General features: G+C 51.2%; 1 protein-coding gene across 4 annotated transcripts in view, besides 2 other annotated features; it reads left to right on the top strand.

Moving 5' to 3' along the window:
• Positions 3,191 to 3,480: a silencer, noted in NCBI's record as "silent region_4893". NCBI's record gives its function as "represses an Ori minimal core promoter by ATAC-STARR-seq in GM12878 lymphoblastoid cells {active_cell/tissue: GM12878}" and the evidence as "EXISTENCE:reporter gene assay evidence [ECO:0000049][PMID:35858748]".
• The window catches only part of SLC8B1 (solute carrier family 8 member B1), a 36,339-nt gene continuing 15,873 nt past the window's right edge, over positions 3,401 to 23,866 (top strand). The window contains exons 1-11 of one of the 4 annotated variants that reach the window (NR_152403.2): positions 3,401 to 4,067; positions 5,550 to 5,761; positions 17,162 to 17,314; positions 17,402 to 17,454; positions 17,603 to 17,660; positions 17,824 to 17,929; positions 18,012 to 18,179; positions 19,439 to 19,546; positions 21,509 to 21,568; positions 21,854 to 21,984; positions 23,034 to 23,175. Coding sequence is in view for 3 of the 4 variants with exons in the window: in NM_024959.4 (NP_079235.2) it covers positions 5,632 to 5,787; positions 17,162 to 17,314; positions 17,402 to 17,454; positions 17,603 to 17,660; positions 17,824 to 17,929; positions 18,012 to 18,179; positions 19,439 to 19,546; positions 21,509 to 21,568; positions 21,854 to 21,984; positions 23,034 to 23,175 (1,135 nt within the window). In the remaining variant the exon portion in view is untranslated. Of the gene's footprint in view, positions 4,068 to 5,549; positions 5,788 to 17,161; positions 17,315 to 17,401; positions 17,455 to 17,602; positions 17,661 to 17,823; positions 17,930 to 18,011; positions 18,180 to 19,438; positions 19,547 to 21,508; positions 21,569 to 21,853; positions 21,985 to 23,033; positions 23,176 to 23,866 lie in introns of all 4 variants that reach the window. The other 3 variants (NM_024959.4, NM_001358345.2, NM_001330466.2) reach the window with 3 other exon arrangements.
• Positions 15,819 to 16,019: a silencer, noted in NCBI's record as "peak1972 fragment used in MPRA reporter construct". NCBI's record gives its function as "represses an SCP1 promoter by STARR-seq MPRAs in K562 erythroleukemia cells {active_cell/tissue: K562}" and the evidence as "EXISTENCE:reporter gene assay evidence [ECO:0000049][PMID:32103011]".

The following is a 23,866-nucleotide window of genomic DNA, read 5'->3' as shown; positions in this document are numbered from 1 at the left end:
GCTCTGCTGACCTAGAATGGTGATATCTAAGCCTCACCCTAGCTACCAGGGTCAGGCCCCTTGGGGAAGGAGGACTTCAAACTCAGCAATTCTGGAGTTACTTCTCAAGCAGCAGATGACCTGGGGAAAAGCTGACCCCGGAGTAGGATGACCCCGGAGCAGGCTTGGAGATTGTGACACACAGACACTACTGTGAACGCCCCTGTGCTGGCAGCCTGGACATGGGGATGAACCTGGCCTGGTGCTGCTTCGAGGTGCTCCCAGCCTGTGGGGGACATGGAAAGGTAAGTTAATGCATTGTTGTAACAATGGAATAATTTTTATTTTTTATTTTTCTTTGAGATGGAGTCTCACTGTCACCCAGGCTGGAGTGCAGTGGCATGATCTGGGCTCACTGCAGCCTCCACCTTCCAGGTTCAAACAATTCTCGTGCCTCAGCCTCCCAAGTAACTGAGATTGTGGGCTTGTGCCACATGCCTGGCTAATTTTTGTATTTTTAGTAGAGACGGGTTTTTGCCATGTTGGCCAGGCTGGTGTTGAACTCCTGACTTCGGGTGATCTGCCCACCTCAGCCTCCCAAAGTGCTGGGATTACAGGTGCGAACCACCACGCCCAGCCAACAATGGAATAATTAATGGGGACAACAAACCCTTCCACTGAGGGAGTGTTGACTCAGCATCCAGCATGGGGTTTGGGGCTCTTCACAGTGTCCTATTTCAGCTAGGCATGGTGGCTCATGCCTGTAATCACAGCAATTTGGGAGGCCAAGGTGGGGGGATTGCATGAGCCCAGGAGTTCAGGACCAGCCTGGGCAACATAGTGACACCCTGTCTCTACAAAAAATGAACAAAACGAGCCAGGCATGGTGGCACACGACTGTAGTCACAGCTACTTGGGAAGCTGAGGCGGGAGGATCGCTTGAGCCCAGGAGGTCAAGGATGCAGTGAGCCAAGATCACACCACTGCATTCTAGCCTGGGTGACAGAAGGAGACCCTGTCTCAAAAAAGATAAGGAAAAACATCTGGAAGGACCTCAGGAGGTTGGTACTAGTATCACTCCCATTTCACCAAGGGGGAAACTGAGGCTCAAAGAGAGGCTCTAAGTGTTTATAGAAGGTCCTACAGAAACCTGATGTTCTGCGATTCCAAACACATCATGCTCCAGATCACAATGTCACCTGCCCAGAGGTGGGAATTAGAGGTGTGCTCTGAAGGTGGGGAGCCCTGTGGCCATGTGGAGGGGTTGGGGGGAGGGTGGAAGACCCCCTAGTGGCGGTGACCTCTGAGCTGAGCCTGACAACATGAGTAAGAGTTTGTCAGGTGGAAAAGAGATAGGGTGTCATCAGGGCAGGGGGCTCGGAAGGAGCAGAGGCAGGTGGCTGTGAGCAAGAGGCCGATACGTTCAGGGAACAGGGAGCACTACTGGGCAGGAGGTGGAGGTAGGGGTGAAAGACGATTTCAGAAAGGTGTGCTAGGGCTGGATGCTGAAGGGCCTTGAATGCCAGGCTTGGCGTTGGGCCTGGGTCCTGCCCATGACGAGGAAGCAGGTCCTACCGTAAGGATAAGAGATGGGGTGACTAGATGCATGCTAATGGCAGAAGTGGGGCTGCAGGCAGGAGTGGCCTGGGAGGACACACTCCAGCCTTAAGGACCCCAGGTCCAGGCCCCATGCCTGCCTCCTCCCATTCCCCCATCCCCCCAACAGAAGAAAAGGCAGGATGAACAGAGCTTCCCCAGGAGGCTGGGAAACTGGAAATAGGGGGAGATACTGGTACATCCATCAGCAGATCACTAACTCCTCGGTCTTGATTTGTTTGCCACCTTCTTTTAAAAACGATGCTATGTGCCCCCTTCGGCAGCACATATACTAAAATTGGAACAATACAGAGATTAGCAAAAAGAAAAGGGAAAAAATTAAATACAAATTTTAAATATTAGATAAAAAGGTGGGCATGGTGGCTCACACCTGTAATCCAAGCACTTTTGTTACAGGAAAGGGGTCCTGATCCAGACCCTAAGATAGGGTTCTTGGATCTCGCGCAAGAACGAATTCAGGGTGATTCCATAGAGTAAAGTGAAAGCAAGTTTATTGAGAAAGTAAAGGAATAAAAGAATGGCTACTCCATAGGCAGAACAGCCCTGAGGGCTGCTGGTTGCCCATTTTTATGGTTATTTCTTGATGATATGCTAAACAAGGGGTGGATTATCTATGTTTCCCCTTTTTAGACCATATAGGGTAACTTCCTGACGTTGCCATGGCATTTGTAAACTGCCATGGCGCTGATGGGAGTGCAGCAGTGAGGACAACCAGAGGTCATTCTTGTCACCATCTTGGTTTTGGTGGGTTTGGGCTGGCTCCTTTACTGCAACCTGTTTTATCAGCAAGGTCTTTATGATAACCTGTATCTTGTGCCCACCTTCTATCTCAACCTGTGACTTAGAATGCCTTAACCGTCTGGGAATGCAGCCCAGTAGGTCTCAGCCTCATTTTACCCAGCCCCACTCGAGATGGAGTTGCTCTGGTTTACACAGCTCTGACACTTTGGGAGGCAGAGGCAGAAGGATCGCTTGAGACCAGGAGTTTGAGACCAACTTGGGCAACATATAGAGACCTCGTCTCTATAAAAAATTTTAAAAACTAGCCTGGTTTGGTGGCACACACCTGTGGTCTCAGCTACGTGGGAGGCTGAGGCGGGAGGATTATATAAGCCCAGGAGTTCGTGACCAGTTTGACCAACATAGTAAGAACATTTTACAAAAAATGAACAAAATTAGCCGGGCATGATGGCACTTGCCTGCAGTCCCAGCTACTTGGGAGGCCGAGGTGGGAGGATTGCTTGAGCCTCGGAGGTCGAGGCTTTAGTGAGCCGTGACAGCTGCTACTGCATTCCAGCCTGGGCGATAGAGTGAGACCCTGGCTTAAAAAATTAAAATTTAAATTAAAAAAAAAAAGCTATGCTACTAGAGGGGAATGTTGAACCCAATTAGGATCTCAGAAGGATTTCAGTGAAACCGCGAGAACTTTCCTGGGCAGGGTGGGGCTTTCTCCACCTGGGATTTTCCCAAACCTCTTTGTCACCATTCATTACCAGGAGCAGCTTGACACCCTCTGGTTCCTCTACCCTCGGGAAATGAACCTCCTAGTTTCACCCTCTAAATGTCCCTCTCCGGCTTCCTGCAGTCCTTACCCATCGGCTTGTATCTCAGTTTCAAAGCGGAGGGAGAGGACGGTGGAGAGTGGGAAGACCCTACGAAGCTCCCCGGGAGCTGTACCTTTAAGGGCAGGGGCGGGGCGAGCCCCGAGGGGGCGTGTCCTGAGGGCGTGGCCGAGACCGGGGCGGGGCGAGCCGGGGCGGGCCCGGACGGGAAGAGTAGGGGCCCGGACGCTGCAGCAGGCGGGGCACCCGGACTGGCGGCTTCGCTGGCGCAAGGTCGGTCCGGCGGCCAGGGACCTGGAAGGCTGCGAGGCCCTGCGAGGTCGAGGTTCGGAGTTTGCTGGTCCCAGGCCCGGCCCGAGGTAAGAAAGAGCCGCCTCCCCGCACGGCCGGAGGACCCGGGCGCCCCGAGTTCGACTTCTCAGCCTCCGTCCGGACGGGAAACGGAGCACGGAGATGTTCCTGAGGTCTCTTTCCTGGGAAGCGCAGCCCCGATTTCCCGCCCCTGTCCCTTAGCAGGTCGGCGACCATCCGAGCGCTGGGCATCGGCCCACGCGTACAGAAGGCGCTCAATAAATGCTCACTAGTGAATCAGTAAAATAAATCGGCAGCAAAGAGAGACGAGACGCATGCTGATCTTCAGGTGTTGGGGACATCAGGGACGCGAACATTTATTGAGCTCTTATTGTATACCGCGTCGGCCAGCATTTGTGTCCATTTCACACATGAGGAATAAGAGGCCCAGAGAGGTGAAGTGACTTCCTTAAGGCCACACAGATAGTAAGTGGCCGAGACGAATTTGAAACCAGGGGTGTCCTGTTTGAACTTGGTGCCAAATAGAGTAACTCGGACTCCAGTTGGAGGGGTTCGGGAGAACCATAGAAGAGGAAGGGCCGTGTCTTCCGTGGACAGGTAAGGAACCTGGCTGGGACAGGCGCCTTTCTGACCTCTCTTCCCCTCCCTACCTCCTCTCCCTCCCCTCAGGCTGCCAGTACATTGAGAAACACCTGCGCAGACTTAAAGAAAAAAACGTTTTTATGGGGTTTGGTTTCCTGATTGCAAAAATAAGACATACTCATCGTAGAACACATGAAAAAGCCAAAACAGGAAATTTAGTTTGCTGAGGACTTTTGTTTTTCCAGTTTAATTCCTTTGAAATATATTGAAGCCATTTTGGCCCTGGTCTTGAGGGAAGAGGCACATGGTGGTGACCAGCCCGGCCCCACTGCTAACCCGCGGTCTTTGAGCAACTCAACTTCCTTCTTGCCCTTAAGTTCCCTGTCGGAGGGGCTGTGGGCTCTGTGACCCTCTTGCTGTGTGACCTTGGGCAGGTTCTGGAATTCCTCTGCTGGGTGTGGTGGCTCACGCCTGTAGTCCCAGCACTTTGAGAGGTCAAGGCCGGCAGATCACTTGAGGCTAGGAGTTCCAGACCAGCCTGGCCAACATGGCGAAACCCCGTCTCCGTTAAAAATACAAAAATTAGCTGGGCATGGTGGTGTGTGCCTGTAATCCCAGCTACTCGGGAGGCTGAGGCAGGAGAATCACTTGAACCCGGGAGGCAGAGGTTGCAGTGAGCTGAGATCGCGCCACTGCACTCCAGCTTGGGTAACAGAGTGAGACTCCATCTGAAGAAACAAACAAAAAACAAAAAACACTCCTCTGAGCCCCTCTCCCTGCTGTGCAGGGTGGGGTGGGGGGCGGGGGGGTGACATTTCCAGAATTGTTCTGAGGACTGCATGAGGGAGGCGTGATGCAGGGGGGAAACAAGCCTGGCTTCACCTGTCTGTGCCTCAGTTAGTTCATCTGTAAAATGGAATGCTAGTGCTACCCCCGCTCGGCATGTCGTGAGGATAGAATGAGGTCATCCATGTAAAGCTTGGCTCCTTGTAAGACACAGAACAACAGCATTGCTTAGTGGGCTCTGTAAAATGTGGTGGGCAAGCCTCTCTACGTCTCAAACTGGTGGCCCAGAGGCCAAGTCCACCCCTAGAAGTAGAGTTTGTTTTGTTTTGTTTTGAGGGCTTCTGCAATCCCGCCCACTGCCCACTTCCCACATGTATCTCACCCACCTGCCCCAGAAGCCTGAGACTCTGAATCTTGGCTCAAGTCCCAAGTCCCTTGCAGCCCTGGCATTCTGGCCTCAGGCTGGGGGCCAGGTGGGACTGGGTAGGTTTTCATGGGTTCTCAGGAAGAAGGGCGTATCTGATCTGCACGCTGAATGGGCAGGGCCTTGGGCCCCTCCAGCGAGACTGTGCAGAACATGGTTTCTCCGTCAGCTTAACTTTGCTGCCGGGAGGCAGGAAGGCAGTTCCTTAACTAGAGTCTTCCAGCCCCTTTTGCTGTGTCCATGGGTTTTCAGTAATGTTGTCCCCCTTTCTCACTCCCACCTTGCAGGCCACCGGAGCCGCCAGCTGTTTGGAACTGAGCTACTGCAGAAAGGGAAGTGGAGAGTAAGGGCCAGGCCCCGTGGGGGCAGATGGCCGGCAGAAGGCTGAATCTGCGCTGGGCACTGAGTGTGCTTTGTGTGCTGCTAATGGCGGAGACAGTGTCTGGGACTAGGGGCTCGTCTACAGGAGCTCACATTAGCCCCCAGTTTCCAGCTTCAGGTGTGAACCAGACCCCCGTGGTAGACGTGAGTATCCCGGTAGGAACCTGGGGTTGAGTGGGGCTGTGTTCCTCCAATCGATAAATATCTATTGAGCATCTACTATGTGCCAGGCACTGACCGCAGCCTGGGATATACCGGGGAACAATAGAGACAAAATTCACTACTCTCAAGAAGCTGACAGTCTCCTGAACAGACAGATCAAGAAGTAAACTTATACACTTTGGGAGGCCAAGGCAGGAGGATCACTTGAGGCCAGGAGCTGGAGACCAGCCTGGCCATCGTGTCAAAACCCCGTATCTACTAAAAATACAAAAATTAGCTGGGCATGGTGGCAGGTGCCTGTAATCATCAGAACCCTGAGGCAGGAGAATTGCTTGAAACCGTGAGGTGGATGTTGCAGTGAGCCAGGATTGTACCACTGCACTCCAGCCTGGGCGGCGAAGCAAGACTCTGTCTCAACAACAAAAAAAAGAGAAGTAAGCATATACATTTCAGGTGGCGATGTGCTAAGTGCCCCGCACACAATAGCTAAAGTGGTATGGGGGAGGGCGTGAGCTTTTCCAACTATTTCAGATTGGGTGGTCACAGATGGCTTCTGTGAGGGGGTGATATTTGAGGCAAGCCAGCGAATGGAGAGAGGAAACCACCTACATTGACACCCCGGGGAAGAGCATTCTGGGCAAAGGGAACAGCAAGTACAAAGATTCTGGAGCAGGAACAAGCTTAGTGTGTTCCCGTAACAGCAGGGAGGCTAGAATGGATGGAACAGAGCAAGTGAGGGGAAGAATGCTAAGAGAGGAGGATGGAGAGGTAATGGCGGGCAGATTACAAAAGGCCTTACAGGCTGCGGCTAGGAGGTGAGAATTGTTTTGCGATAGTGGGGAGCCAATGGAAGGTTTTAAGCAGAGGGTCCCAAAATCTGTGTTAGTCGGAGTTCTCTAGTGGGACAGAACTAATAGGATAGATGTATATGTAAAGGGGAGTTTTTAAAGGAATATTGACTCACATGATCACAGGTGAGGTCCCGCAATAGGTCATCTGCAAGCTGAAGAGCGAGGAGGTCAGTCTGAGTCCCAAAACCTCAAAAGCAGGGAAGCTGACAGTGCAGCCTTTAGTCTGTGGCTGAAGGTCCAAGAGTCCCAAAGCTGAAGAACTTGGAGTCTGATGTTTGAGGGCAGGAAGCATCCAGCATGGGAGAAAGATGCAGGCCAGAAGACCAAGCCAGTCTAGTCTTTCCACATTCTTCTGCCTGCTTTTATTCTGGCTGTGCTGGTAGCTGATTAGATTGCACCCACCCAGATTGAGGGTGGGTCTGCTTTTCCCAGTCCACTGACTCAATTTTTTTTTTTTTTTTTTTTTTCGAGAACAGTCTCACTCTATACCCAGGCTGGAGTGCAATGGCACGATCTCAGCTCACTGCAACCTCCACCTCCCGGGTTCAAGCGATTCTTATGCACAGCCTCCCGAGTAGTTGGGATTACAGGTGCACACCACCACACCTGGCTAATTTTTTTGTATTTTTAGTAGAAACAGGGTTTCACCATGTTGGCCAGGCTGGTATTGAACTCCCACCCTCTCTCTTTCTCCCAGTGGTGGGAGAAAGAGAGGAGTTGTGGATGGCTCCAGGTTCCTGGCCTGATCAGCTGAGGGTGTGCTGGTGCTGTGATTTGAATGGGGAGCACTGAGGGAGGACCAATGACGACGCTGGAGTTAGAGGCAAGAGGCCTTCCTCCCAGGGCAGGGAGGGCACAGCCTGTTGAGACAGGCTACAGAGAACTTGCATCTTTCCGCTCTGATGTCTGTAAGGGGAGAAGAGGAGGTCACAGCAGATCTGGAGTGAAGGAACAAAAGCAGAGGACTGCTCAAGATGACCCCCTGGAGTGCCCTGTAGCTGCCAGGGACTGGAGTTCTCACCATTTCTTCAGCAGGAATCCCAAACTCAAACTGATGGGCTGAGAGCATTCAATGCCCACAGCAACTTTATGAGGCTGCAAAGTGCCTTCAAGTCCACCCTGTGAAACAGGCAACAGGCAATTAAGCCCATTTTACAGATGGGAAAGTGGTTTGTGGTTACTGTGGTTATAAAATTGAGTACCCCCTCTTGGAGCGTGCTCCTTGGGGGCAGGAAAACTGGGAGATCATACCAGATAATTGTGCCAGATAATCTCTCCAAGTTATTGAGCACTTAGATCAGCCTTGTGCCCACAAGTCCTCCCCCAAACCCCGTGAGGTGGGAGTGATTATCTCTGTGCTATAGATGAAGACTCCAAGGTTCAGGGAGGTGAAGGTGGCCAGGAGGAAAGTGGCAGAGCCAGGATGAGAACCCTTGGCTGCTTCATGCTAAATCCATCCCCTTCCCCTCTAGTCCACCGCCTCACAGGACAGATGGGGCAGCTGCCTTTCTGGAAGTCCCCACCATCCAGGGAGCCTGCAGGCTGGGAAAGGCCCCCCCAGCCCCTTACCTTAGGTCCTTTTCAAGTAGTCATTAATGCAACAAATAGTTATTGAGCACCTACTATGTGCCAGGGCCTGTGCCATGTGCTGAGGGGATAGCAGGAAGCAGAGAGCCTGGTCCCTGCCCCCCTGGAGCTTATACTCTAGTGGGGTCATGGATGAGAAGCAAGTTGACAAATCATTCCACAGGGTGAGGGGGAGGGGGGTGCTGCTTTGCTTAGGCTATCATGGAAGGCCTCTCTGAGGACATGACATTTAGACTGAGACCTGAATGGCTTATGAAGATCCAGGGGAAGTGAGGGAACAGTAGATGCAAAGGCCCTGGGGCAGGAGCAGAATGACAGATTTTGCAAAGTGGCTGGAACAGTGAGCAAGGGAGAAGGAAGGGAGACCAGGCAGGAGAGAACAGGGGCCCTGGGGACCACTGTAGACTTGGCTGTCAGTGGGAGGAAGGTGGGAGCCATGGGAGGCTTTAGAGCACAAGAGGATGTGATCTGATGTAAGTTTTTATAAGAATTCCAAGGTATTGAGTTGGTTACCCTTTCCTGTCCAGCCTGACCTCTGTGTGCACCTCTTTGGGTTTCCTGGGACTGAGTTAGTGACATAGGAAAGAGGGTGGGAAGGACTGGAAGGAAGTGAAGTCACTCCTTCCCTCCCCCAGACGCAGAGCAATCCCACCTTACTCTGTCTCTCTTGAGCAGAGAGCTGGGGAGGGGTCCTGAGGGACCTGGGGGAGGGCTGTGCAGCTCGGGGAGGGCAGAGCGAGACAGACTGCACAGTAATGTGATTTTGGAGGCCAGATTTGGGGGACCCACCTTGCTGACTCACTCTGCCATCAGGGAGATGGGGTGACTCCCTGCATCCTCCCTAGCTGACCCCGAGGACAGGGAGGAGGGAGGGCAGGAAGATAGTGAGAGGACAGGAAATGGAGGCTGCCCCTGCCCAGTTGGGCAGTTTCCTCAGGAGCTTCAGCGAGTAACTTTCAGGCGGAGCTGAGTTTGGAGCCACTTCTCAGTGGTGGGCTGTGTGCTCCTGGGCAAGCCACTTTGCCTCTCTGTGCCTCAGTTTTCTCATCTGTGAAGTGGAAACAATTGTGCCAACCTCCTGGGTCTCTGATGAAGACTGAATGGGTGAGATGATGCCCAGCACGGTGTGCAGCACAACTGTTAGGAGGGCCTACTCTGCCAGGCACTGTGCGAGACTTTAGTGGGAGGGGCAGATATTAAGCAAGTCTATGATCCTGCCTGGGTGCGGTGGCTCACACCTGTAATCCCAGCACTTTGGGAGGCCGAGGCAGGTGGATCACTTCAGGCCAGGATTTCGAGACCAGCCTGGCCAACATAGCAAAACCCCATCTCTACTAAAATACAAAAATTACCTGGGCATGGTGGTGGACGTCTGCAATCCCAGCTACTCGGGAGGCTGAGGTAGGAGAATCTCTTGAACCCATGAGATGGAGGTTGCAGTGAGCTGAGATCATACCACTGCCCTCCTGCCTGGGCGATGGAGTAAGACTCCATCTCAAAAAAGGAAAAAAAAAAAAAAAAGTAACTGGGAGGGCCAGCTAGGCTGGGAGTAGTCAGGGAGGGCTTCCTGCAAGAAGTGTCCTGGGAACCAAGAATTGGGTGGTGAATGTGGATTAAATAGAGGAAAAATAATCGTGGCACCAGGCAGAAGGAACAGCATGTACAAAAGCTGGACCAATGCCAGGAGGGTCTGGGCATTCCAGGACCTGACAGCTGACCAGACGAGCTTTACTGGAGACTGACAAGGGCAGAACACAGGGACCAAAAACAGGCAAAGGAGAGCTCTTCAGCAGCTGGAGGAGGGAGCACATTAGAAAGAGCCCCTCTGGTAAGATTGGGGGTAGGAGGCCAGATGAGAACCTCTGCAGTTGTTCTCCGTGCTGGTGGAGATGGAAGGAAGGGATGAATTCAAGTATTGTTTAAGAGAGAAAAATTTCTGGCCAGGCTTGGTGGCCCACCTGTGTAATCCCAGCACGTTGGAAGGCCGAGGCGGGAGGATCACTTGAGCCCAGGAGTTTGAGACTAGCCTGGCCAACAAGGCGAGACCCCTTCTCAACAAAAAATTTAAAAATTAGCCTCGTGTGATGCGCACCTGTGGTGCCAGCTACTCAGGAGGCTGAGGTAGGAGACTGCTTGAGCCTGAGTGGTTGAGGCTGGAGTGAGCTGTGATCACGCCACTGCACTCCAGCCTGGGTGACATAGACAGAACCTGTCTCTAAATAAATAAATAAATAAATAAATAATTAAAACTTAGATGATGATAATGCAACCTTTTTTTTTTTTTTTTGGAGACGTAGTTTCGCTCTTGTTGCCTAGGCTGGAGTGCAATGGTGCAATCTCAGCTCACTGCAACCTCTGCTTCCTGGGTTCAAGCGATTCTCCTGCCTTGGCTTCCCAAGTAGCTGCGATTACAGACATCTGCCACCATGCCCGGCTTTTTGTATTTTTAGTAGAGATGGTTTCACCATGTTGGTCAGGCTGGGCTCGAACTCCTGACCTCAGGTGATCCACCTGCCTTGGCCTCCCAAAGTGCTGGGATTACAGGTGTGACCCACCGCGCCCAGCCTATTTTTTTTTTTTTTTTTGAGACAGAGTCTCACTCTGTTGCCCAGCCTAGAGTGCAATGGTGTGATCTTGGCTCACTGCAACCTCCGCCTCCCGGGTTCAAGTTATTCTGCCTCAGCCTCCTGAGTAGCTGGGAACACAGGCACACGCCACCGTGCCTGGCTAATTTTTATATTTTTAGTGGAGATGGAGTTTCACCATGTTGGCCAGGCTGGTCTCAAACTCATGGGCTCAGGCACTGGGATTACAGATGTGAGCCACAATGCCTGGCCTCCATGTCCTTATCCCATTCCTGTCTAGGCTTGTGGGTGTTATTGCCCCCATTGTTCAGAGGAGAACACTGAGGTTAATTTACTTGCCCAAAATCACTCACCTAGAAGGACGCAAATTAGAATTTCAACCAGGCAGTTTCATGAGAGAGGAGGGCTCAGTAGAGGGAGCTGTACTGCCTCCCAATATGATTATTATTGTTCCTCCCAGAGGAGGAAATGGCAGCCCGCCTGCTTCCCTGGCCCCCATCTAGTGTCCTTCCTCCTTGTGCTGGGTGGGACCCTCTTTGTCAGAAACCCCTTGGGTGACTTTATCTCCCTGGGAAATTCCTGGGCCCCAGCAAAGCCACAGGCCCAGGCTTAGGGCAAGACTGAAACCCTCCCCCTCCCAGTATGGAAGGAGCCCAGCCTGACTGTTGCTTTTGGGTGGGAGCTGGGGATGGGATAAGGGAAGCTCAGGACAGAAACTTGAGACTTGCATCTGCATGTTTTGGTGGGAATAGTTGATGGAGATTCCCAAGCCTGGGTTGGGATGTGCACACCATCACTCCAGCCTGGGGCACAGACTTTCTGTAAAGAGCCAGATAGTAGGGCCGGGTTGTGGGCTCACATTTGTAGCTCCAGCCACTTGGGAGGTTGAAGTCGGGGGAATTCCTTAAGCCTAAGAGTTTGAGGCTGCAGTGAGCTATAATCATGCTTCTGCACTCCAGCCTGGGCAACAGTGAGACCTTGTCTCAAAAAAAAAAAAAGAGAGAGAAAGAAAAGAGGCCAGTCACAGTGCTCACACCTGTAATCCCAGCACTTTGGGAGGCGGAGGCTGGTGGATCACTTGAGGCCAGGAGTTTGAGACTAGCCTGGCCAACATGGTGAAACCCCATCTCTACTAAAAATAAAAAAATCAGCCAGGCGTGGTGGCACATATCTGTGATCCCAGCTCCTCCAGAGGCTGAGGCAGGATAATAATTTGAACCCAGGAGGCAAAGGTTGCAGTGAGCTGAGATCTCACCACTGTACTTCAGCCTGGGCAACAGAGTAAGACTCCGTCTCAAAATAAATAAGTAAATAAAAAAGAAAAAAGAAAAGAAAGAAAGAATAGAATAAGAGCTAGACAGTAAATATTTTCAGCTTTGTGGGCTACATGGTTTCTACAACTACTCACTGCTCTCACAGTGCCTGAGTAGCCACAGATTGTACATCAACGAATGGGTGTGGCTGTGCCCCAGTAAATATTTATGGAAATGGAAACTTGAGTTTTATATAATTTTACATGTCATGGAAAATTCTTCTTTTGATTTATGTCTCCCAACCATTTAAAAATGTAAGAATCATTCTTGGCTTGCAGGCTGTGCATAACCAGATGGTGGGCTGGATGTGGTCCAGGGGCCGAAGTTTGCTGACCCTTGGCTTACCCATATGTTAAAGGGGAATCATTCCATTTGCCTCGCAGGAGTGTTGGAAAGGCTACACAAAATCACTTAGTCATTCAAGCAGCCATTAACACAAATGTATTAAGCCCCTACTACAGGCCAGGCTCAGGGCAAATACAAGAATGCAGACAAAAAAAATTCAGGGCTGGGCGCGGTGGCTCACGCCTGTAATCCCAGCACTTTGGGAGGCCGAGGCGGGTGGATCACAAGGTCAGGAGATCGAGATCATCCTGGCTAACACGGTGAAACCCATCTCTACTAAAAATACAAAAAATTAGCTGGGCGTGGTGGCGAGCGCCTGTAGTCCCAGCTACTCGGGAGGCTGAGGCAGGAGAATGGTGTGAACCTGGGAGGCGGAACTTGCCGTGAGCCGAGATAGCGCCACTGCAGTCTGGCCTGGGCGAAAGAGCGAGACTCCGTCTCAAAAAAAAAAAAAAAAATTAAGGCCAGGTTTGGTGGTTCACGCCTATAATCCCAGCACAATGGGAGGCTGAGGTGGGAGGATGGCTTGAGGCCAGGAGTTGAAGACCAGCCTAGGCAACATAGCAAGACCTCCATCTCTACAAAAAATAATTTTTAAAAAAATTAACTGGGTGTGGTGGTGCATGCCTGTAGTCCCAGCTACTTGGGAGGCAAAGGCAGGAGGATCACATGCGCCCAGGAGTTCGAGGCTGAAGTGAGCCATGATTGCCCCACTGCACTCCAGCCTGAGTGACAAAGCACCTGGTCTCTAAAATAATAAAATTCAGTAAACAAGGAAATGAACAAAATAAAGATTGTGATAACTGCTGTGAATGCAGAAAACTGGGTATTAATAGTGGAGATAGGGGTAATAACTACTTTACATGGAAAGTCTCTGAGGAGGGCAAATTTGAACACCTGTAATCTCATTTGATTCTTTTATCAATGGGGTTGGTATAATTAGTCCCATTTTACAAATGAGACTGAAGCTCAAAGAGAGGAAGGGAATTGCTACAGATACAGCTCTTAGATGGTAGAGCTGGTTGGGCATGGAGGCTCACACCTGTAATCCCAGTACTTTGGGAGGCTGAAGTAGGTGGATCACTTGAGGTCAGGAGTTCAAGACCAGCCTGGCCAACACAGTGAAACCTCATCTTTACCAAAAATACAAAAATTAGCCAGGTGTGGTGTTGTGTGCATGTAGTTCCAGCTACTCAGGTGGCTGAGGCAGGAGAATCACTTGAACCCAGGAGGTGGAGGTTGCAGTGAGCCAAGATTGCTCTACTGCACTCCAGCCTAGGCGACAGAGTGAGACTCTGTCTCAAAGGAAAAAAAAGGGGCTGGGCGCAGTGGCTCACACCTGTAATCCTAGCACTCTGGGAGGCCAAGGCAGGTAGATCACTTGAGGTCAGAAGTTTGAGACCAGCCTGGCCAACGTGGTGAAACCCCATTTCTACTAAAAATACAAAACTTAGCCGGGCGTGTCGGTGGGCACCTGTAGTCCCAGCTACTCGGGAGGCTGAGGCAGGAGAATCAGTTGAACCCGAGAGGTGGAGGTTTCAGTGAGCCGAGATTGTGCTATTGTACTCCAGCCTGGGTGACAGAGGGAGACTCTGTCTCCAAAAAAAAAAAAAAAAAAAAAGGTAGAGCTGAGTGGCTGAGTGGGTATTATGCTCAGGTTGTCCTGATCTCAAAAAAAGAAAAGTTTTTTTTTTTGTTTGTTTGTTTTTTTTTGAGACAGGCTTGCTCTGTCACCCAGGCTGGAGAGCAGTGGTGCCATCATAGCTCACTGCAGCCTCAACCTCCCAGACTCAAGCAATCCTCTCACCTCAGCCTCTGAAGTAGCTGGAACCACAGGCGTGTGCCACCATGCCTGGCTCATTTTTAAATTTTTTTGTAGCAATGGGGTCTTACTATGTTACCCAAGTTGGTCTCAAACTCCTGGGCTTAAGCGATCCTCCTGCCTCAGCCTCCCAAAGTGTTGGGATTACAGGTGTGAGCCAGTTTACCTGGCCACAGATTTCATCTTCCCAGCTGGCATGTGCTTTCTGAGGACAGGACACTGTAGAAAGATTGAGGGGTTGGGGCAGGGCTGGGGGTTTCAGTCTCTGCTCAGGGGATACTGTATGGGTGGGTAGAGCTCTTAGCAAAAATTGGTGAGAAGGCCAGAGGCTCAGAGATAAGAAATCTCACTTCCAGTCTGGTGTTAGTGGGAGTTCAGAGAGGGCTTGTGGAGGAGGTGGAACTGTGGTTTGACAAAGCTTTTAAAAAATTATAATGAAATACACATAACCTAAAATTTACTGTCTTAGCTTTTTTTGTTGTTGTTTTTTTTTGAGATGGAGTCTCACTTTGTCACCCAGGCTGGAGTGCAGTGGTATGATCTTGGCTCACTGCAACCTCTGCCTCCTGGGTTCAAGCGATTCTCCTGCTTCAGCCTCCTGAGTAGCTGGGACTACAGGTGGATGTCACCACGCCTGGCTCATTTTTGTATTTTTAGTAGAGACGGGGTTTCCCCATGTTGACCAGGCTGGTCATGAACTCCTGACCTCAAGTGATCCGCCTACCTCGGCCTCCCAACGTGCTGGGATTACAGGCATGAGCCACCACACCTGGCCAGACTTGCAGTTTAACAATGACATTCCTATCACATTGATCTGAATAAGGCTGCTCATAGCCAATGTGGGTGCAGGCTTATGAGAATTGCTTATTTCCCATTCCTGGTGGGAGTGTATGTAGGTAGAGCTTGGCCAGGGCATTTTGGCAAAATCTAGCAATGTTGAAGATCCCTTGTCAGGGCCTTGAGCATTTCTTTTGGACTGTACTATTTTGGTGGGCTTTTGTTGACTTCCAGTTGCCAGTTTATTGTTCTAGAACCACTTATAAGCATAGTAGGCTAGAGGTGCTGGGGAACTAAAACCTCCATCTAGCAGTCCTCACCCAATGGCTGATGAGAGTTGGTGTATAAATATCCCAGCTCCCTTGCCTCCTGATTAAGCTCATGGTGGTGGTAACTGGCTCAACCCAGCCTTCGTTGGCAGCTATCCCTTCTCTGTACCACTTCTTTTCTCCTATTTCTTTTATTTTTTTCTTTTGAGACAGGGTCTCACTCTGTCACCCAGGCTGGACTGCAGTGGTACAATCATAGCTCTCTGCAACCTTGAACTTCCAGGCTCAGGTGCTCCTCCCACCTCCTCCTCCTGAGTAGTTGGGACTACAGGCGTATGCCACCAAGCCCGGCTAGTTTTTTTTGTATTTTTTGTAGAGATGGAGTTTTGTCATGTTGCCCAGGCTGGTCTCGAACTCCTGAGGTCAAGTGATCCTGCAGCCTTGGCCTCCCAAAATGCTACAGTTACAGGCGTGAGCCACCACACCCGGGCCCACTTCCCTTTCTCTATGTTTGTGTTCCTCAGGTCTCCCAAACATACTATGTCCATCTCAATCTTTGTCTCTGAGTCAGCTTCTGGAGGAACCCAGACCAGGATACCCTCTGATTCAGCACTTTCTCTTCTCAAATCTTCTCTGACAACATTTTTCTCATATGTGCTCAGAGAGTCATGTGTGAGGAAGCTCATTGGCTATATTGAAAAACTAGGCATACCCAAATGCCCAGTAGGGAAATGTTTACCTCAGTGATGTATCACCCATAGTATGAAATACTCTGCTGCAGTGAAAGACTCTGTGGGGAGGCAGGGGAGAACAGTGGGCCCTAGAGCCTAAAACTGCCTGGGTTCCAACCTTGACCCTCCCACTGAGTGCACACGGACATTGTCTCAGTCTCCTTAACTGTTTAATGGGCATGATAATAGTTCCTTCCTCGCAGACTGTTGTGCAGAGTAATTGAGATACATATTTTTTTTTTTTGAGACAAGATCTCATTCTATTCCCCAAGCTAAATGCAGTATTGCAGCCTCAACCTCCTGGGCTCAGGTGATCCTCCCACCTCAGTCTCCTGAGTAGCTGGGACTACAAGTGCACATCACCATGCCTACCTAATTTTTTATTTTATTTTTTTGCAGAGATGGGGTCTTGCTATGTTGTCCAGGCTGGTCTTGAAATCCTGGGTTCAAGCAATCCTCCCACCTCAACCTCCCAAAGTGCTGGGATTATAGGCATGAGCCACTGCCCCCAGCCATCATAGAATTATTGTACAGATTAATTGAGATACATTTTAAGCTCTTAGCACTATGCTTTGCATATAGAAATCACTATAGTATGTTTCAAATTCTGTATATTAAGGTATATTAATATATATATATATATAATGGTAAAAGCAAATTATAGAAACAAGAGATTTGGGATGGATCCATTTCTGTTAAACAAAACAAAGTGTGTAATAGGATATATATACAAATATAATTGATCTGAGAAATGTCTGTAAGGATGTGCTTCAAACTAATTATGGTGGGACCACTGGAGAGGGGGATTTACGGAGGGCAGGGATAAGAAAGCGGAATTTAGAAATCTTATGTATTGGTTTTTTTAAAAAACAAATATGTATTCATGAATTACTTATGTCAATTTCAAGCAGACGTTTATTTTTAAAATTAAAAGTGCATCCATAGTTGGCACCCAGAGGGTATGGTGGCCTTGGAGACCAGGCTGAAGGGACATTATGTTTAGCTGCTTAGATGGGCCTAGTCTAGTTCTCAGGGAAGTCTCTGCCGCTGATGTCCCCCTCCCTGTCTTCCTGCAGTGCCGCAAGGTGTGTGGCCTGAATGTCTCTGACCGCTGTGACTTCATCCGGACCAACCCTGACTGCCACAGTGATGGGGGGTACCTGGACTACCTGGAAGGCATCTTCTGCCACTTCCCTCCCAGCCTCCTCCCTCTGGCTGTCACTCTCTACGTGAGGCCCTGCCCTGGGGGGCTGGTGAGAGGGGCTGGTGTCTCCAGCTGGACTTGACTCTCCCTTCCTCGCCCGCTCCCCACCCAGGTTTCCTGGCTGCTCTACCTGTTTCTGATTCTGGGAGTCACCGCAGCCAAGTTGTGAGTTTGGCTCTGGGCTCCGGTCTGGCTTATCAATGGGAGGAGGGGTCCCAGGAGGCTGACATTCGGTCACCCTCAGTTTGGGGGAAGGATAGGGGTCCGGGGCCGGTTACTACGGAAATGCTTCCCGTCCGCTTTTTCTCCGTAGTTTCTGCCCCAACTTGTCGGCCATTTCTACCACACTGAAGCTCTCCCACAACGTGGCAGTATCCTTTTGTCCAGTGTCCTGCACCCTGGAGGGAGGGCAGTTGTGGGGAGGCTGGGAGATAGGGTCATGTCTATCCCCGTGTGGGGAAGCTGGGGGATAGGGTCGAAGGCCTGGGTGGGCTGCAGCTGCGATCCTGGCCCGCCTTGACATGCTCCCCACATGGCGTCACCTTCCTGGCATTTGGGAATGGTGCACCTGACATCTTCAGTGCCCTGGTGGCCTTCTCTGACCCGCACACAGCCGGCCTGGCCCTTGGGGCACTGTTTGGTGAGAGCAGCCCCAGTGAGGGGGGCGGGGAAAGCAGCAGGAGAGGGTGCAGGGTGGCTGAGCTCTGGCCTCCTCCCCCCAGGCGCTGGCGTGCTGGTTACCACAGTGGTGGCCGGAGGCATTACCATCCTACACCCCTTCATGGCTGCCTCCAGGCCCTTCTTCAGGGACATCGTTTTCTACATGGTGGCTGTGTTCCTGACCTTCCTCATGCTCTTCCGTGGCAGGGTCACCCTGGCATGGGCTCTGGGTGAGCAGCTCTGGGGCTCAGGCGTGAGATCCCAGGGCTGATGGGCAGGAGGTTTAGGAGGTGCCTGGGACAGAGAGGTGTGAGGGGTGGTCAGTGGGGGCTTTGATTTGATTACAAGTGACAGAAACCCTCCTCAAGCTGGCTTGAGCAAAAATGGGAACATGTGGGTCACATAACCAAAGAGGCCTGGCAGAGCTGGGGGCTGGGGAGGGAGTATTCAAAAGTGTCACAATTTTTTGGCCAAGCGTGATGGCTCACACCTATCATCCCAGCAATTTGAGAGGCTGAGGCAGGAGGATCACTTTGGTTCAGGAGTTTGAGACCAGCCTGGGCAACATAGCGAGACTACATCTCTACAAAAAAGAAAAAACTTAGCTGGGCATGGTGGTGGTGCATTCCTGTGGCCCCAGCTACTCTGGAAGCTACGGCAGGAGGATCCCTTGAGCCTAGGAGTTCGAGACTGCAGTGACCCATGATTGTGCCATGGCACTCCAGCCTGGGCAACAGAGCAAGACTCTGTCTCAAAAAAAAGAAAGTTTCATAATTTCCAATTTTAACAAGCAGTAAAGATGGGACGCTAACTGGGGCCACCCGGATCGTGACAGCAAACATGTTCCATTCAGACGGCTCAAGGGGTATGAATGGAGGGACAATTTGTACAGAAGGAAAATGAAACCAGCAAGGGAAACCGAGATTCGAGATACTCAGGGGCCAGCAACAATGGGAGCTGCGAACGCACTCATCCCTCGTGGCAGCAGGGGCAGGGAAGGGGGTGGTGGAGCCCAGTGAGAGTTGGAGGGCTGGAGGCCTGGAGCTATACTGAAGAGGGTTGCAAGCCCTGCCAGAGACACGCAACAGGGAGGGAGTAGGAAGAAAGACTCCAGAGTCTCTCCCGCTGCTTCTGATTTCCTGTCTGGCCTCCCATTGGCTGAACCTAGCTGTAGCCAGAGCTACAGGGCTGCCTCCTCCCAGGGCACAGAGCAGGACACCGACCCTTAGTACTTGAATGGGGACCTGGAGGTCTCTCGCTGTGCTTGGGTATTACCTCCTTGATTGCAAGGGAGACAGGAAGGGAGATGGTCCTGGAAGGCAGGAGGAAGGAGTGGGGAGCTCAAGGAAAAGGCCATTTACCCACTGGTACCTGGATGGGCTAACACAGATTGCCACCGCTAACACGCACCACTGATAGAACTGCCAGCTGTTGTTCTCTAGACCTGCACCAGGACACCACTTGGTGACGGCGTGCACCCCGTCTGCAGGTTACCTGGGCTTGTATGTGTTCTATGTGGTCACTGTGATTCTCTGCACCTGGATCTACCAACGGCAACGGAGAGGATCTCTGTTCTGCCCCATGCCAGTTACTCCAGGTAAGAGTCTGCATCGGACCCCAGAGAGGACCAGTGGGGACTGGGGGCCTCTGTGCCCTTCAGTGCTGCCCAGGGTCTCCTGAGGCCATTGTCCCCACCAAGCTCATCTCCTCTTCATGCTCTTTCTACTCATTCTGCTGAGGTCCCGCCTCCGTGCTTCCACTGGTACCCATGAGCCTCTGCATCACCTGCAGGCTCAAGTGCACTCCTTCCTTCTCTCTATGCAGTTGCCAGGGCCATCTCTCTAAGAATCGCCACTGCTCCCTGCCCTGATGTTTCCCACCATTCTCAGGGTAAAACACAAACGCTGCCGTGACAGGGACACTGAGAAATAAAAAATAAATACAAAGAAATCAATAATATTCAAATACAGTCATATACACAAATACATGCACACAACACACATACACAAATACACAACTCACACATATACAAATACATGCACACATACACATACATGCACACACACAACTCACACATGTACATGCACACAAATACATGCACACATACAACACATACACATACGTGTATACACACAACACACATACAAATATATGCACACACACAAATACATGCACACATATACAACACACACAACACACATAGGAGTACATGCACACACATGCAACATATATACAGATGCATGCATGCGCACATACACAAATACATGCTCACACACATGCAACACAAATACATGCACACACAACACAAATACACAACACACACACAAATGTGTACATACAACACATATATGAATACATGCACATACATGTGCAACACATACATGCATACACATCTGCAACACAAAACATGCATGCACACATATACAACATACACAGATACACAACACACTTATACAAACATGCGCACACATACAACAGACACAAATATATGCACACATGCAACACATACAGATGCATGCACATGCATACAAATATGTGCACACACATGCAACACACATAAATACATGCTCACACAACACACAAATGTGTATAGACACAGGATACACCTGCAACAGAGATACATGCACACACATGCAACATACACATACATGCATGCCATACACAACACAAAAACATCAATGCACACAAACATGCAGCATACACATACACAAATTCATGCACTCACATACACAATACACACAAATACATGCACACACACAAATACACTCACATACACAACACACATACAAATACATGCACACACACATAAACAAATACATGCACATACATAGATAACACACACAACACACTCAGCAGCAGAATCAGGGCGAGAGCTAACTCCTCACTCGAGGAGGGCCATTTTCCTTTCAGGCCCCTCCATACAGGTCCCAGGCCTCTCAGCATCCACAGGCCTCCTGAGAAGAGAAAAATAGTATGGGTTCCAGATTCTGAAAAGGACAACACTGAAGTCAATAAATGTTTGAGTTGTGCCTTCAGATGCCCCTATTAACTTTAGCATTATAGCTGCATGCTTACATTTGGCCATGTTTGGTGAATTAGACTTTCACTGTGTAAGAATCCCTGAGCACGCATGCAGACTGCTAGAAATCCAAAATAAAGACAGCCTGGACGTGGCCGGGCGCAGTGGCTCATGCCTGTAATGCCATCACTTTGGGAAGCTGAGGCGGGTGGACTGCTGAGGCCAGGAGTTTGAGACCAGCCAGGCCAACATAGCAAGACCCCATCTCTAAAATTTTTAAAAATTAGCTGGGCATAGTCTCAGCTACTCGGGAGGGAGGGAGGTTGAGGTGGGAGGATTGAGTGAGCCCAGGAGGTCTAGGCTGCAGTGAGCTGTGATCACACCTCTGCACTCCAGCCTGGGTGACAGAGAAAGATCCTGTCCCAAATAACTAAGTAAATAAGATGGCCTGAACACTTGCACCCCTAAACCTGCTCTGTCCCAGTGTGCCCCCTCGAAAATGGTCTGGGTTCTGTATGTAACTGGGCCTCTCTCCTGCAGAGATCCTCTCAGACTCCGAGGAGGACCGGGTATCTTCTAATACCAACAGCTATGACTACGGTGAGTCCGTGCCCTGTGCCCAGCCAGGGTGGCGGTAACAGGGAAAGGCTGGGGGTGGAAAGATGGGGCCCTCCAAGACCTGGGCTCCAGGAATGAGGCTCCAAATCGGCCCCACCTCTCACTGCAGCTCAGGTGAGCCAAGGGCCAGGGTTGTCTGCCCTCTGCCGAGTACTGGGCTTTGTCTCCTCCTTTAGGGCTGGGAGGACTGGTGGGATGGAGCGGGGAAGGTTTCCTGGAGAGCAAGTCAGCCGCAGGCACACCTCACCACCCGACCCCTGCACACAGGTGATGAGTACCGGCCGCTGTTCTTCTACCAGGAGACCACGGCTCAGATCCTGGTCCGGGCCCTCAATCCCCTGGATTACATGAAGTGGAGAAGGAAATCAGCATACTGGAAAGCCCTCAAGGTGTTCAAGGTAGGAGGGTCCTGGAGCCAGGCTCACAGCCTTCTGACAGCAGCAAGACAGTGGCCACGCTACCCTCTCCAGCTCTACGAGGGGGAGGGCCTGGGGTCCACTGAGACCCTCTCAGAATACATGACTTGTGATTTGATGGGGAAACTGAGGCGTGGAGCTTGGCTGATGGCTTGACCTGGGGCTCTGCCCTCTAGTGGCCCCTAAAGACATCCATATCCTAACCCCTGGAACCTGGGAGTATGTTACCTTTATGGTAGAAGGGCCTTTGCAGATGTGATTAAAGATCTTTTTTTTTTTTTTGAGACAGAGTTTCGCTCTATTGCCCAGGCTGGAGTGTGCAGTGGCGCGGTCTCGGCTCACTGCAAGCTCCACCTCCCGGGTTCACGCCATTCTCCTGCCTCAGCCTCCTGAGTAGCTGGGACTATAGGCGCCCGCCACCACGCCTGGCTAATTTTTTGTATTTTTAGTAGAGACGGGGTTTCACCGTGTTAGCCAGGATGGTCTCAATCTCCTGACCTCGTGATCCGCCCGCCTCGGCCTCCTAAAGTGCTGGGATTACAGGCGTGAGCCACCGCATCCAGCCATCATTAAAGATCTGAGATGAGCCTGGCTTATCCAGTGGGCCCAGTGTCATCACAGGGGTTGGCACAAGGAAAGAGGGAGGCAGGAGGGTCAGAGTCAGAGACTGAGAAGTGGCGACAGGAGCACAGGGTGGAATGATGTGGGGCCTGGAAGGCAGGTGGCTCCTGGAAGCTGGAAGGACCCTCAGTCTCCCCTAGAGCTTCCAGAAGGAACAACCCTGCTGACAACTTGACTTCAGGACTTCTGCCCTCCAGAACTGTCCAAGAATACATCTGTGCTATTGACAGTCACTGTTTGTGGTCATTTGTCCCAGTAGCCAGAGGCAACCAGGCACTTAGCCTGGAACCCGCACACAGTCAGTGCTTCAGCAATGAACGGCCGAGCTCTTGAGTCACTGAAGTCCATCTGTGGCCGGCTGGGATTCAGACTTCCCTGCCGACACCCTCCCACTTTTGCCCCCTTGACAGCTGCCTGTGGAGTTCCTGCTGCTCCTCACAGTCCCCGTCGTGGACCCGGACAAGGATGACCAGAACTGGAAACGGCCCCTCAACTGTCTGCATCTGGTTATCAGCCCCCTGGTTGTGGTCCTGACCCTGCAGTCGGGGACCTGTGAGTATCCCCTACCCCGGGCCAACCCACCTTCCTACTCCTTCCCACGTTCTGGAGTTTTCTTCCACCCAGGCTGGAGTACAGTGGCACGATCTCAGCTCACTGCAACCTCCCTCCACCTCTCGGGTTCAAGCAATCATCCCATCTAAGCCCCCTGGGCAGCTGGGATTACAGGCGTGCACTACCACGCCCAGCTAATTTTTGTATTTTTCACAGAGACGGGGTTTCACCATGTTGGCCAGGCTGGTCTTAAATTCCTGACCTCAAGTGATCCGCCCATCTTGGCCTTCCAAAGTGCTGGGATTACAGGCGTGAGCCACCGTGCACAGCCAGTGGAGTTTTCTTCTCAACCACGTGAGGGAGGTTTGGGCTAGAGGCAGAAACCTGGATATACAGCAGGCGCTTACTATGCGCTTGTGCCATAAGGGACACCAGCCTGGAAGTTCACCCAGGGGACCTCCTGCAGTCAGTTGATCCAATCTTGCTGGCCCCAGATGGAGGCTGCAAAACAGGTGACCCCAGGGCCAAATCCAGCCCTCTAGCTTGTTTGCCTGCATTTAAAAATTGGGGGATTTTATCTTAAAATCTGGATTTTGGCTTCTCAAGATCTGGGCCACATTCCTGAAGGCAAAACTGGCTGGAGCAGAGAAGGGGCACCCCCTATGGGGTGCCTGTGGCCTAAATCATCACA

Source organism: Homo sapiens, chromosome 12 (genome assembly GCF_000001405.40).
Source record: "Homo sapiens chromosome 12, GRCh38.p14 Primary Assembly".
Taxonomy (NCBI): Eukaryota; Metazoa; Chordata; class Mammalia; order Primates; family Hominidae; genus Homo; species Homo sapiens.
Note: the sequence above shows the minus strand (reverse complement) of the source record. Positions and strands in the feature narration are given on the sequence as shown.